Source organism: Homo sapiens, chromosome 7 (genome assembly GCF_000001405.40).
Source record: "Homo sapiens chromosome 7, GRCh38.p14 Primary Assembly".
NCBI classification, from domain to species: Eukaryota; Metazoa; Chordata; class Mammalia; order Primates; family Hominidae; genus Homo; species Homo sapiens.
In genome coordinates, this window is record NC_000007.14 from 100,968,777 (window position 1) to 100,983,161 (window position 14,385).

Consider the following 14,385-nt stretch of genomic DNA (forward strand, 5'->3'; position numbering starts at 1 on the left):
CCCTGATAGCAAACTCACACAGCAGAGCCTGTCTATGCTGGCACCGGGCCCTTCTGTTCCTGCTGTTGTGGGCAGTCAGGCCTGCCTGAGGAGTCGAGAGTGATCAGAAATAACGTGTCCCCTTGGGTCTTTGGGTGCTGGCTTGGCAGAGGCCCCTTTGATGCTTTCTCTGGGCAGGGATGGGCCATGGCCTTTTGTCACCTCTGTGTCTGGCCAGGGGTGGGGACAAGGACCATAAAGTCTCAGGTGTGAGTGGGCCCTCTGCCCAGGAGAAGGGCTGGAAACTGGGGACCCCAGGGAAAGCCCTGGACATTTGGCAAGGACCATGTTGAGGCAGGGGATGGGGAAGGTTGGCTGGAAGAGAGAGGGGCTTCTCGGGGGTGGGAGTGGAGGGTCCTTCACTTGGTCTGGCCTGTTGCCAGCTGCCCCTTCCACGGTTCTGAACTTCTTCCGTGGTCACCCGCTTCCTGGTGCTTCTTGGCCCCCACCTCTTGTCACCAGTGGTGTGCTCACACCTCTAGCCTCCCTCCCTCCCTCCTGCGCTGCCCCACCCAAAGTGCCTCTGACTTCCGCTGACAGAGAGGGACCCCGGCTCAGGGCAGTGACTACTCCAGGACTTATAAGGAAGAAGGGTGGACAGGCTGCCCTTCGTTTAACTCCCCGTGGTCACCACGCGCTACCTGCTCAATGCCATCACCTCACCTCTACCCTGGGACAGGCACTGCTCTTCTTCAAGGCAAAGTTCTCTGGGGTCCTTTTTATAGCTGATCCCTTCCTGGGAGGCCTTCATTTCTTGGTCCCTCCTGATGAGAGAAGATGGGCAGCCAGGGGCCCGTTCCCCGGGAGATGCTGGTGATCTGGATTCTGACGCTGGCTCTCCGGCTCTGCGCGTCCGTTACTACAGTGACACCAGGTGAGTGCTCCTGGGCTGATGCTCCAGGTCCAGTGCTCCTGGGTGGTAATAGTACATGCCCCTGCCTCAGGCAGCAGGGCTGCAGGTGGCCTCCTCCCCTTTGCATGGCAAGGGGCTGCCACAGGGCTGGAGACCCGTGCTGTGACCTCATCTTGCTTTGGGGGTGCTGAAGAGGTCACTGTGGAGACCTGTGGGTGCCTGTGGTTGTGCAGGGGATGGTCTGCACACAGCTCCTGGCTGAGGGGCGGCTGAAATCCACAGCTTCTGCTCTCCAGGCTCCCCCCGGGAGGATGAAGGGGCTTTTGTCACATAGACAGTCATCTCTGCCTGCCCTCATCCTGGGGGCTTTATCTGCTGGAGGGATGGGTCTTTCCAAACCTCACGGAGGCACTGCACATGCTGCTAGCCCTGGTCGGGAGAGAGGGAGTCCAGAGGGGTGTGTGACAGTATCATCTCTTGACTTGGAGTAGCCTCAGGTGCACCCGGGGAATCCCCACCAGTTAAATGGCTGACGGGGCCAGGCGTGGTGGCTCATGCTTGTAATCCCAGCACTTTGGGAGGCCAAGGTGGGTGGATCACCTGAGGTTGGGAGTTCAAGTCCAGCCTGGCTAACATGGTGAAACCCCGTCTCTACTAAAAATACAAAAATTAACCAGGCATGGTGGCGCACACCTCTAATCCCAGCTACTTGGGAGGCTGAGGCAGGAGAATCACTGGAACCTGGTAGGTGGAGTTTGCAGTGAGGCAAGATTGTGGCACTGCACTCCAGCCTGGGCGATAAGAGCAAAACACTGCCAAAAAAAAAAAGAGAGAGAGAAAGAAAGAGAGAAATAAAGAAAGAAGGAAGGAAAGAAAAAAAAGAAAGGAAGAAAGAAAGAAAGAAAAGGAAAAAAGAAAAAATGGCTGCCAGTTGCAGGGTCTCGCCTGCAATCCTAGCACTTTGGGATGCCGAGGCAGGCAGATCACGAGGTCAGGAAATTGAGACCATCCTAGCCAACATGGTGAAACCCCAACTCCACCAAAAATATAAAAATTAGCTGGGCATGGCCTGTAATCCCAGCACTTTGGGAGGCCGAGGTGGGCGGATCACGAGGTCAGGAGATCGAGACCATCCTGGCTAACACGGTGAAACCCCATCTCTACTAAAAATACAAAAAATTAGCCGGGCGAGGTGGCGGGCACCTGTAGTCCCAGCTACTCAAAAGGCTGAGGCAGGAGAATGGCGTGAACCCGGGAGGCGGAGCCTGCAGTGAGCCGAGATCGCGCCACTGCACTCCAACCTGGGCGACAGCGAGACTCCGTCTCAAAAAAAAAAAATTAGCTGGGCATGGTGGCACACGCCTGTAGTCTCAGCTACTCAGGAGGCTGAGGCAGGAGAATCACTTGAACCCTGGAGGCAGAGGTTGCAGTGAGCCGAGATTGCACTGCTGCACTCCAGCCTGGCAACAGAGCGAGACTCTCTCAAAAAAAAACAAACAAAAAAGAAACAAACAAAAAAAAAACAAACCGTGGCTGAGGGGCTGTAGGAGGAGACAGAGGCTCAGGGGTCCTTGCTCAGCCTGGTCGTGGCTGTGTCTGAGAGATGACTCTGACCCGCTGATTTCCCTCATACAGAACAGACTTTCTGATTCCTTTCTGGCAGGGGTGGACAGGGATGAGGAGAGGCGAGAGAGGGAGACCTTGAGTTGAAGGCTGTGGGGTGGGCAGAAGGGGTGGTGAGGGGGCAGGGGAGCTGGGGTGGGGGTCTCTGGAGCCCTGCAGGACACCTTCGAGGTAACCCACCAGGGAAGTTCCACCATCCTCCCAGCCAGGGACTCAGGCCCTCCGAGGCTGCCTCTGCCCGCCAAGCCTTGACAGATGAGACCTCCTTTACCCCCACCCGGACATGTTGGGAGAGAGGTACAGGCAGGGAGGAGCTGATGGGAGAGTTTCAAGGGCTGGAGTGACGAACTCTGTGGATTTGGGGACATTATGAGAGTTTATTAATAAGACATAGATTCCCTTTAAGTTCACCTACAGAAGTGGGAAACTGTGGGCCTGGATGGGTCTTAGGAGGGGTCCTCCCCATCCCTGCTCCCAAGGCCTGGCCTAGCAGATCTCTGTAGTCAGATTATTCAAGGAGAGGGTGATGGAGGTGATGACAGCGATGATGAAGGCCCCAGGAGTCAGCAGGTGGCATTGCCTCTGTGTACCCAGCCGTGTGTTAGAGACGGCCCCCAAGCAACCAAAAACCCCCGTTCCTCAGGTGCTTATAATTGTGTGTCAAAGATAACACAGGTGAATCCCTTAGTGTGCAAAACAGTCAGAAAAACATCTATCTATGGCCAGTGCAGAGAGCAGAAGGGAGTGAGGCCAGGCAAGTAGGGCCACTCCGGAGGGCTCCGGAAGATCTGATTAGATCCAGAGACCCCCTGCCCTCCTCTTGCAGAGGGCTCTGCTGTTCACAAAGCCATTTCCCAGCAGGTAGCTCATATAATTCTCATGAGGAGATCTGTGTAAGGAAGTCGGGGCAGATGAGGATATGTAGAGACTCAGAGAGAGGATGAGTGATTTGCCTGGGTCCACACAGCAAATAATGAACACGGCCACCACTTGACAGTGGATTTGTGTCCTGCGCCCCTCCTCCCCTCTAGAGGACCCCAGTTCTCTGCACCCGCGCCTCTCCTTCCCTAGAGGATCCCAGTTCTCTCCACCAGCGCTCCTCCACCCCTCTAGAGGAACCCAGTTCTCTGCAAATCATCCCCTGCTCTGGGAATGGATTCTGGGTCCTTGGGGAGCAGTTCAGATGTCAGATCAGAGACGATCAGTGGCATCTGTAGCTTTTTTTTTTTTTTGAGACAGTCTCCTCTGTCACCCAGGCTGGAGTGCAGTGACATGATCTCCACTCACTGCAACCTCTGTCTCCAGGGTTCAAGAGATTCTCCTGCCTCAGCCTTTGGAGTAGCTGGGACTACAGGTGTGCGCCAACATGCTCAGCTAATTTTTTTGTGTGTTTTTGGTAGAACAGGGTTTCACTATGTTGGCCAGGCTGGTCTTGAGCTCCTGGCCTCAAGTAATCTGCTCAGCTCGAACTCCCAAAGTGCTGGAATGACAGGTGCGAGCCACCGCATCTGGCCCAGCATCTGTAGCTTTTCTTCCTACTCTCTGCACGCTTTTCTGGGTACTCCAGGGCACATTGTGGACTGGTGAGGTTTTGGAGAAGCAGACAGTCGAGCAAGGGAAGAGCACTCTGAGAAGGCAGAAAAATCATTTCCACAGGTCTGCAGGGGAGCTACGGTGCAGGAATGCCCTGAAAGATGAGGGGGCATCTGCTGGATGGAGCGTGATGTTTGCTGGGGAGAGTGTGGTGGTGCTGGTGCATTTGTGGATGACAGGAGCAGTAAGACCAAGCTAAGATATTTAGACATCACAGGAACCTCTGTGGGCTGAGTAGGGCTGGGGATGCCTCTGTAGGGCAGACCAGCATCAGAGAGGCCATTGAGAGGCACCCAAAGCTATCCTGGGAGGAGGACATGAAGGCCCAGCTGAGAACCCAACTCCCCTGGAAATGGGGGCTCCACTTGATGGTTGGCTGGGGGACGTGGAGATAGATGGTCTAGGAGGCTGTGTTAACTGGGAGAGGAGCCTCTTTTTGCTGGATGACAAAGGTCTCCAGTTGAGGCTGTGGAGTTTGGGGTGATGGTGAAATTTCTGAGTGGAGCTGTCCTGGGCTTCTAGGATGGGTCCAGTGCCATTGCCCCAGCCCCTACTACAGGCTGAGGAGGTATGAAAATGTGAGTGCTCACCACGAACTAAATCAGCCGGCACCTTGGTCTTGAACTTTGCAGCCTCCAGAACTGTGAGAAATAAATCTATTTTTTTAAATTTATTTTAAGAGATGGGGGTCTTGCTTTGTTGCCCAGGCTGGTCTTGAACTCCTGGGCTCAAACCATCCTCCCACCTCAACTTCCTAAAGTGCAGGAACTACAGGCAGGAGCCACCACACCTGGCCAATTTCTATTGTTTAAGCAACCCAGTCAATGGTATTTGCTATGGCAGCCCAAGATGACTAAGACAGGCTGCCTTCAAGATTTTCTCTTCATCAGCTGGGTGTAGTGGTTCATGCCTATAATCCCAGTGCTTTGGGAGGCCCCAGCCTGGGCAATGTAGTGACACCCCATCTCTAAAAAAAAAAAAAAATTAGGCTGGGTGTGGTGCTCATGCCTGTAATCCCAGCACCTTGGGAGGCCAAGGCAGGAGGATCCCTTAAGCCCAGGAGTTCGAGACCAGCTCGGGCAACATAGGGAGACCCCATCTCTTAAAAAAAAAAATTAGCCAGTCATAGTGGTGCATGCCTATAGTCTTAGCTACTTGGAAGGCTGAGGGGAGAGGATCTCTTGAGTCCAGGAATTCGAGACTGCAGTGAGCTGTGATTGCACCATTACGCTTCAGCCTGGGTGACAGAGTGAGGCCCTGTCTCAGAAAAAGCTTTTCTCTATTTATCTTTGGTTTTCAGGAATTTGACCCAGACTATAATGTCTGTGGTTTGTGGCCCTTTGTTTATTTTTGGAAATTCTTAGTGATTATTGTCTTCAAATATTTCTCCTGCCCTGTTCTCTCTCTCTTCTCCTTCTGAGACTACAATGAGATGTATGTTAGGCCATTCCATATTGGACTACAGCTCTTGGATACTGTTCTGCACACATCCCCACCACCCCTTTCTGTGTTTCAGTTTGGATAATTTCTATTGACTTATCAATTGACTGAAGATAAAAACTGACTTATTTTCAGTTTTTATTGACTTATCTTCACTAATTCTTTCCTCTACTGTGTCTTATCTGCTGATCATCCTGTTGAAAAGAAGTCTTTGGCCAGGTGCAGTGGGTCACAACTGTAATCCCAGCACTTTGGGAGGCTGAGGTGGGAGGATTGTTTGAGCTCAGGAGTTTGAGGCCAGACTGAGCAACATAGGGAGACCCTGTCTCTGCAAAAAATACCAGAAAAAAATTAGCTGTGTGTGGTGGTGTGCGCCTGTAGTCCCAGCTACTTGGGAGGCTGAGATAGGAGGAATGCTTGAGCCCAGGAGGTCGAGACTGCAGTGAGCTGTGATTGTGCCACTGCATTCCAGCCTGGGCAACAGAGAGAGACCTTGTCTCAAATAATAATAATAATAATAAATTTAAAAATCAGAAAAGAACTCTTTATCTCTGATATTATGGTTTTTATTTCTACCATCTTCGTTTGAAAGAGGCCTCTTGAGAGGCACCGAGAGCCACCCTGGAATAGGAGATGGACAGTCCAGGAGGCTGTATTGACCGGGAGGACAGGAGCCTCTCTTTGGTGGAAGACAAGGGTCTCCAGTTGGGCCTGTTGAGTGTGGAATGACTGTGGGGTTTCTGGGAGGAGCTGTCCTGGTGGCCTGAGGCTCCTGGAATGGGGACACAGTCTAGAATTCTACCTTTTCCAACTGCTGCAGAGGACACAAAAGCCAGAAAATGCCAGAAAAATGCCAGGGATCCACACGATGACTGGAACCACTATCCTGTTTTATGTACATGAAGTTGCACAGTGTTCCTAATAAGGGTCGAGGAGGGGATGGGCTAGGGGAGAGGGACCAACTGTCTGCCCTGGAGGGGCGGGGCCAGGGGTCTGAAGGGGTCAGCGCTCTTTAGCTTAGAAAGGTGAAGCTGGGGGTGGAAATGGTTAACACCTATAAAATTGGGAAGAGAGTGGTGGAGGTGAGAACAGATTGCTTCACAATAGACAAAGGGGCAACCTTTGAAACTCAAGTGATGTAAAAATTGACGCAATTACAAGGAATGCAGTTTTATACAAAGAGTAATAAACTTATTCAGCAAACACCAAAGGCTGGCTCTGCTTGAGCAGGTGCTCTGGATAAGGCAGGGTGAATAAACAGTTTATAGTAGAGTTAATGAGGTGGGATTGGGGCAGAAAGGCCACAGCCCAATCTGCTGCTGGAGCTACGAGAGGGGGCCTCCGGGGCCCTTCCACCTGGGCTGATGAGGGTACAGGGAGAGGCAGCATTTGAGTTTGGTGGTAGTTGAGTAGGACAGGAAGGAAGTATTATATTAACAGATGCTCAAAGGCCTTAGACAAATTCAGAACTGCATTGTCTGAACTTCCACAGAGCTAGGGAGAGAATTGGGATATTGGTAATCAGATTCCCTCGGGAAGATCAAATCTTGGGGTGGTAGTGGGATGAGCTGGGGTCACCCATAACTATTTGGGGTGTGGAAAGGCCAAGAGACACCCACACCACAGTTGGAGAAGTCAATAGAGACCCGATAGTCTGAGTATCATATTAATATTAAAAATGGGCCAGGCATGGTGGCTCACTCATGCCTGTAATCCCAGCACTTTGGGAGACCGAGGTGGGAGGATCGCTTGAGGGCAGGAGTTTGAGACTAGCCTGGGCAAAAATATTTTTTCAATAAAAAAGTTAGCTGGGTGTGGTGGTGTGTCTCTGTAGTCCCAGCTGCTCAGGAGGCTGAGGGGAGAGGATCTCCTGAATCTAGCAATTCCAGGCTGCAGTGAGCTAGGATCACACCACTGCAACCCAGCCTGGGTGACAGAGCAAGACATTACCTCTTAAAAATAAAAAAATATATATATGTATTAAAAATTGCAAATATTCGGCCAGGCGTGGTGGCTCATGCCTGTAATCCCAGCACTTTGGGAGGTCGAGGCGGATGGATGACAAGGTCAGGAGATCGAGACCATCCTGGCTGACACAGTGAAATCCCGTCTCTACTAAAAATAAAAAAATTAGCCGGGCATGGTGGTGTGTGCCTGTAGTCCCAGCTACTTGGGAGGCTGAGGCAGAAGAATGGCGTGAACCCAGGAAGTGGAGATTGCAGTGAGCTGAGATAGTGCCACTGCACTCCAGCCTGGGCGACAGAGCGAGACTCTTTATAAAAAAAAAAAAATGCAAATATTCATTGAGGGTTTGCTATGTGCTGGACACTTTTATAATATTATCTCATTTAACTTTTACAACATTCCTAAGAAGAAGGATGTGTTACTGATTTTGGGTTTTTATACGTGGGGAAACAGGCACAGAGATGATAAATAATTTGCTCGGTGGGGCGTGGTGTCTCACGCCTGTAATCCCAACACTTTGGGAGGTCAAGGCAGGCAGATCACGTGACATCGGGAGTTCGAGACCAGCCTGGCCAACATGGTGAAACCCCATCTCTACTAAAAGTACAAAAATTAACTGGGCATGGTGGCAGGTTCCTGTAATCCCAGCTACTCAGGAGACTGACGCAGGAGAATCACTTGAACCCTGGAGGCAGAGGTTGCAGTGAGCCGAGATCGTGACACTGCGCTCCAGCCTTGGTGACAGACCAAGACTCCATCTCAAAAAAAAAAAAAAAAAAAAAAAAAAAAAAAAGAAATTGCTCAATACCACCCATTCATCAGTTGGAGGAGTCAGGATTTGAACCTAAGCTTTCCAGCTCCAGGGTCCCCATTTTTTACCACTTGCTATAATTGGGGATGCCTGTGTGTATGTGTTCCCTAGGTCTGCCACAATAAATTAACAAACACTATTGGTGGCTTCAAGCAACATAAATTTATTCTCTTACAGTTGTGGACGCCAGAAGCTTGAAGTCAAGGTCATCATGAGTGCCACATTCCCTTCAAACTCTCTAGAGGAAGATCTCTCCTTGCCTTCTCTAGCTTTTTTTTTTTTTTGAGACGGAGTGTCTTTCTGTTGCCCAGGCTGGAGTACAGTGGTGCGATCTCGCCTCACTGCAACCTCTGCCTCCCGGTTCAAGCAATTCTCCTGCCTCAGCCTTCTGAGTAGCTGGGATTACAGGCACGCGCCACCACGCCCGGCTAAGTTTTGTATTTTTAGTAGAGACGGGGTTTCACCATGTCGGTCAGGCTGGTCTCGAACTCCTGACCTCGTGATCCACCCACCTTGGCCTCCCGAAGTGCTGGGATTACAGGCATAAGCCACCGTGCCTGGCCAGCTTCTTCCTTTTTAAAAAAATGTTTATCTCGTTATTTAGAGGCTGGATTATGAGACTGGCTAATTTTTGTATTTTTTTTTCTTGTAGAGACGGGGTCTTGCTATGTTGCCCAGGCTGATCTCAAACTCCTGGGCTCAAGCAATCCACTGGCCTCGGCCTCTCAAAGTGCTGGGATTACAAGCGTGAGCCACCGTGCCTGGCCAGCCTTTTCTAGCTCCTGTTGACGCCTGGTGTTCCTTGGCTTGTGATAACATCACTCCGATCTCTGCCTCATCGTCTTTGGGCATCTTTCCTGTACGTCACACCTCTCTCTCTTTTCTCTGACAAGTATGCAGATTTAGGGCCCATCCTAAATCTGATCTTGAGATCCTTGACTTAATGACATCTGGAAAGCCCCTGTTTCCAAAGAAGGTCGCGTTCCCAGGTACCAGGAGTTAGGACTTCGAGGATATATTTTGGGGTGATCCTATTCAATGCGCGATACCATGCTTTAGCCTCAACTGGTGGCTCTTGCTTTTAAGAAGCAGTGACAGTGCCTGCTGGCACTAGAAAGCCAAGAAGTCCATCCACCGCCATTGGTGTGTGCAGGGGTTGGGGTGGCCCCAGCTCTATCTCTACCTCTACAACTCAGCCAGGAGCCAATGAGCTTATGTTAAAGGAATAGACCCAGGCTATCTAGCTCTTGTGTGGCAGAGCAGAATGTGCACCTAGAACTGGGGGACCCCAGCTCATCCCAGTGCCTCCCATAACATTGTAGAATATTCTAGAGTGATCAGGGTGGCAAGAACAGGCATCATTTACTCTCATTTTCGAGGGAGAAATGGAAGTTCAGAGAGGTTCGCTGGATTGCACAAGGTCACACAGCGGTGTACAGGTTGGTCTTGGAGACATAGCAAGGACCCTCCCTCCACACCCCGTGGGGGCTCCCCACACTGCCACTGCCTCTTCAGGGGAGCTGCCACTGGGGACTTCATTGACTGATTTTGTCACAAGCAGAAATATGTCCTGGAGGTGGCAGGAGGAGACAGTTTCAAAGCTTGGTGATGGTCTTCAGACTTGTCCTTGAAGAACCTTCTAATGTGTGTCCCCAAGCATGCCACGATGTGAAAGGTTTGCCTGAAAAACCAGCTGCCTTAATTAAATAATAATCTATTTTATTTTAGAGACAGCGTCTTTCTCTGTTGCCCAGGCTGGAGTGCAGTGGCACAATCATAGCTCACTGCAGCCTTGACCTCCTGGGCTCAAGTGAGCCTTCTGCCTCAGCCTCTCAAGTAGCTGGGACTACAGATGTGCACCACCATGCCCAGCTAATTTTTAAATGTTTGTACAGATGGGGGTCTCGCTATGTTTTCCAGGCTGGTCTTGAACTCCTGGCCTCAAGCAAACCTCCTGCCTCAGCCTCCCAAAGTGCTGGGATTACAGGTGTGAGCCATTGTCCCTAACCTTAATCTTTTTAAAGAAAAATCCAAATACATGTGGAATGTAGAAGCAGTAAACACTGTAAATGGGCAAGAAAGGACTCAACTTAATTCATTTAATGAGATACCATGTCATTACTCTCACAGAGAAAAAAGCTACCAAACTTTACCTGCTTAGCAGGAGAGGGAGCTGGCATCTTTAATGACCAGTGGCTGCAATGTAGGCAAATAGGCAATTTTTGTTAAGCATTTTGACTACAAAGGTCTGGGGAGTGCCAGCTTGGAAATTGTTACCAGTGAATGATTTTCCATGGGTTCTCCAAGGGGTGACATAAGGCATACCTATAATAAAATAAAATAAAACAGAATAAAATAAAGCAAAATAAAATAAAATAAAATAAAATAAAATGTATATAGGCAGGGCACGGTGGCTCATGCCTGCAATCTCAGCACTTTGGGAGACCAAGGCAGGCAGATCGCGAGGTCAAGAGATCGAGACCATCCTGGCCAACATGGTGAAACCCCATCTCTACTAAAAATACATTAGCTGAGCCTACTGGCAGGGGCCTGTAGTCCCAGCTACTCAGGAGGCTGAGGCAGGAGAATCGCTTGAACCTGGGAGACAGAGGTTGCAGTGAGCCAAGATCACGCCACTGCGCTCCAGCCTGGGTAACAGAGCAAGACTCCTTCTCAAAAAAATAAAAATAAAGTAAAATAACATGTATATATATATAACATATATACATGTACACACATACATTTATATATTCACACACATTTATTGTGTTTTAAAAATTATAAAACGAGGGGTGGTGGTGCAGGTCTGTAGCCCCAGTACTCAGGAGGGAGGGAGGATCACTTGAGCCCAGGAGTTCCAGGCGCAGTGAGCTAGGATCTCACCACTGCGCTCCAGTCTGGGGGCACATTGAGAACTCGCCTCTCTCTCTTTTTTTTTTTTCGTTGTTGTTGTTTTGTTTTTTAGATGAGTCTCGCTCTGTTGCCCAGGCTGGAGTGCAGTGGTGCCATCTCGGCTCACTGCAACCTCCACCTCCCAAGTTCAAGTGATTCCCCTGCCTCAGCCTCCCGAGTAGCTGGGTCTATAGGTGTGCCACCACACTCAGCTAAATTTTTGTATTTTTAGTAGAGATGGAGTTTCACCATGTTGGCCAGGATGGTCTTGATCTCTTGACCTCGTGATCCCGCCCGCCTTGGCCTCCCAAAGTCCTGGGATTACAGGCGTGAGCCACCATGCCCAGCCTGAAGAAATACCCCCTTAACCTTAACATTCAGATAAACATTGTTAACATTTTATTTCTATGTATTTAGATTTATTCTATGGATGGTTTATATTTTAATGGCTGATTACTATTCTGTTCTATGGAACACCACAGTCATATAACCAGTCCCCTATTTGTCTATTCTTGGACATGTGTACCTCTGTTTTTTACTATAATAAGTAACGAGGCAATAAACATTCTTGTATAAATTTTATTTTATATCTGCATCAGATTAATTTAGGATGAATAACTAGGAATGTCATCGTTAAAATGATATCAGCAGCTGGGTGTGGTGGCTCATGCCTGTAATTCCAGTGCCTTGGGAGGCTGAGGTGGGACAATCACTGGAGGTTGGGAGTTGAGACTAGCCTGGGCAAGATAGTGAGACCCCATCTCTACAAAACGTAAAAAATTAGCTGAGTATGGTGGGGCCTGTGGTCTCAGGTACTCTGGAGGCTGAGGTGGGAGGATCACTTGAGCCCAGGAGTTTGAGGCTGCAGTGAGCTAAGGTTGTGCCACTGCACTCCAGCCTGGGTTACAGAGTGAGACCCCCAACTCCTGAAAAAAAAAATGGTATGACTCTTCCAATGGTCCCTGATGCATATTTTCAAATTATCCTTTAGAACTATGATGCCAAGTCAACATCACATGAAAAGGCCCCAACCAACACTAGCTACTATAGTCATCTATCATGATGGACGTCTATCTTTGACTGACAAAGAAGAAATCATATTTTGCTGTGTTTTGGATTTCTTTGCTTCCTGGTGAAATTTATATGCTTTTTCCTTCTCTTGGGCTTGTTGGCTATTTGAGTTTCTTTGGAGAAGAAGCTCAGTTTTCCTTTGCCTAGCTTCCTTGTGGAGCACCCTGACCCTGGAGGTTGAACTGGAGAAGGACCGCCGCACTTGCTCTGTGACATCCTTTGGGGACACCGTTGCCACCAGAATCCCAGGTTGGGAGGGGTCTGAATCTCTTCACCCAGAGCATGGTTCCCTTGTCCCTCCTGCAGCGAGTGAAGAACCTGGGCTTGGTGGAGTTTGCTAGCCCAGGGGACGACGGGGATGGCAGAGCCGAGGGCTTTAGCCTGGGGCTCCCACTTAGTGAGCAGGCAAGGGCTGCAGGAGCCAGAGAGAAGGAGCGTCAGGAGGTGAGGGTGTCCTAGGAACTGAATGTGAGATTTCAGAAAGAGGAAGGGCAGCTGGATAAGATGGATGGGGATTCGGTCACTTAGAGCTCAAGCTTGGTGTGACCTGCGAGGGCAACTGTTGTGGAGATGTGAGTGGTTAAGGACAAACTGAATGGTAACAAATCGGAGAGAAAATGGTATGAATCCAGGAACAAAGGCAAAAGAGAGCAGGTATGTTCGGAATGGTCCCCCGCATTCCACAGTGTCCCTGCCTTCTTTGGGTCCCTCAGTGGCCCACCATGTCACTGCCTTGGCCTCACCAGCCTCTGTCCCTCCATTGCCCCTTCTCCTTGTGGCTTCCAGGGCACAGCTGCTGCTGCTTTTTTTTTTTTTTTTTTGAGACGGAGTCTCACTTTATTGTCCAGACTGGAGTGCAGTGGTGCGATCTCAGCTCACTGCAACCTATGCCTCCCGGGTTCAAGCGATTCTCCTGCCTCAGCCTCCGGAGTAGCTGGGACTACAGGTGCCCGCCACCATGCCCGGCCAATTTTTATATTTTTAGTAGAGATGAGGTTTCACCGTGTTGGCCAGGCTGGTCTCGAACTCCTGACCTCAGGTGATCTGCCTGCCTTGGTCTCCCAAAATGCTGGGATTACAGGCGTGAGCCACCGTGCCCAGCCTCCAGGGCACAGCTTCTAAGGCACAGTTGGGATCATGGCTTTTTACTGAACTTAGTCAAGTCCAAACCCCATTTCTAGGCTGGTTCACACCCATTTTCCTAGCTTCCCTCTGCCTTACTGTCTTCCCTCACCCCAAACAGACAGTGAGCACTTTTACTCACCTCTGGGACCCCACACATGGTGTTCTTCTGCCCTGAAAACCTTCCCTTTCTCCTCTTTATTCCTCTAGCCCTTTATTGGGGCTAAAAGTAAAAGTCATTTTTCTTTTCTTTTCTTTTTTTTTTTTTAGAAACAGGGTCTTGCTCTGTTGCCCAGGCTGGAGTGCAGCGGCCTAATCATAGCTCAGTACAGCCCTGAATTCCTGGGCTCCAGTGATCCTCCCACCTCAGCCTCCCAAGTAGCTGAGACTACAGGGACACAGCACCACGCCTGACTAATTTTTTGTTGAGATGGGGTCTCATTATATTGCCCAGACTGATCTCAAACTCCTGGGTTCAAGTAGTCCTCCCCCCTTGGCCTCCCAAAGTGCTGGGATTACAGGCATGAGCTGCCACATCTGGCCTTTTTGTTTTGTTTTCTTTGAGATAGGGTCTTTCTCTGTTACCCAAGCTGGAGTGCAGTGGTGCAATCATAGCTCACTGCAGCCTTGAGCTCCTGGGCTCAAGCAATTGTCCTGCCTCAACCTCCTGAGTACCTGGAACTGACTACAGGTGCATGTACCACACTGGGCTAATATTTAAAATTTTTTTGTAAAGACAGGATCTTGATATGTTGCCCAGGTTGGTCTTGAACTCCTGGCCTCAACTAATCTTCCCACCTTGGCCTCCCAAAATGCTGGGATTACAGGTATGAGCCACCACACCTGGTCAAAAGCCATCTTTAGAATGTGCTTGAATTCTATGTTATAATCTGAGTGACCTTGGAAATTATTTATCCTTAGAACCTTGATTCCTATGTAAAATAGAAATAGCGGCTGGGTGCTGTGGCTCACACCT

General features: G+C 49.8%; 1 protein-coding gene across 1 annotated transcript in view; it reads left to right on the forward strand.

The window, feature by feature from the left end:
- Nucleotides 789-14,385, forward strand: part of MUC12 (mucin 12, cell surface associated) — a 49,372-nt gene continuing 35,775 nt past the window's right edge. The window contains exon 1 of the mRNA NM_001164462.2: nt 789-913. Within this exon, the coding sequence (NP_001157934.1) occupies nt 847-913 (67 nt within the window). The 5' untranslated portion in view covers nt 789-846. The remainder of the gene's footprint in view (nt 914-14,385) is intronic.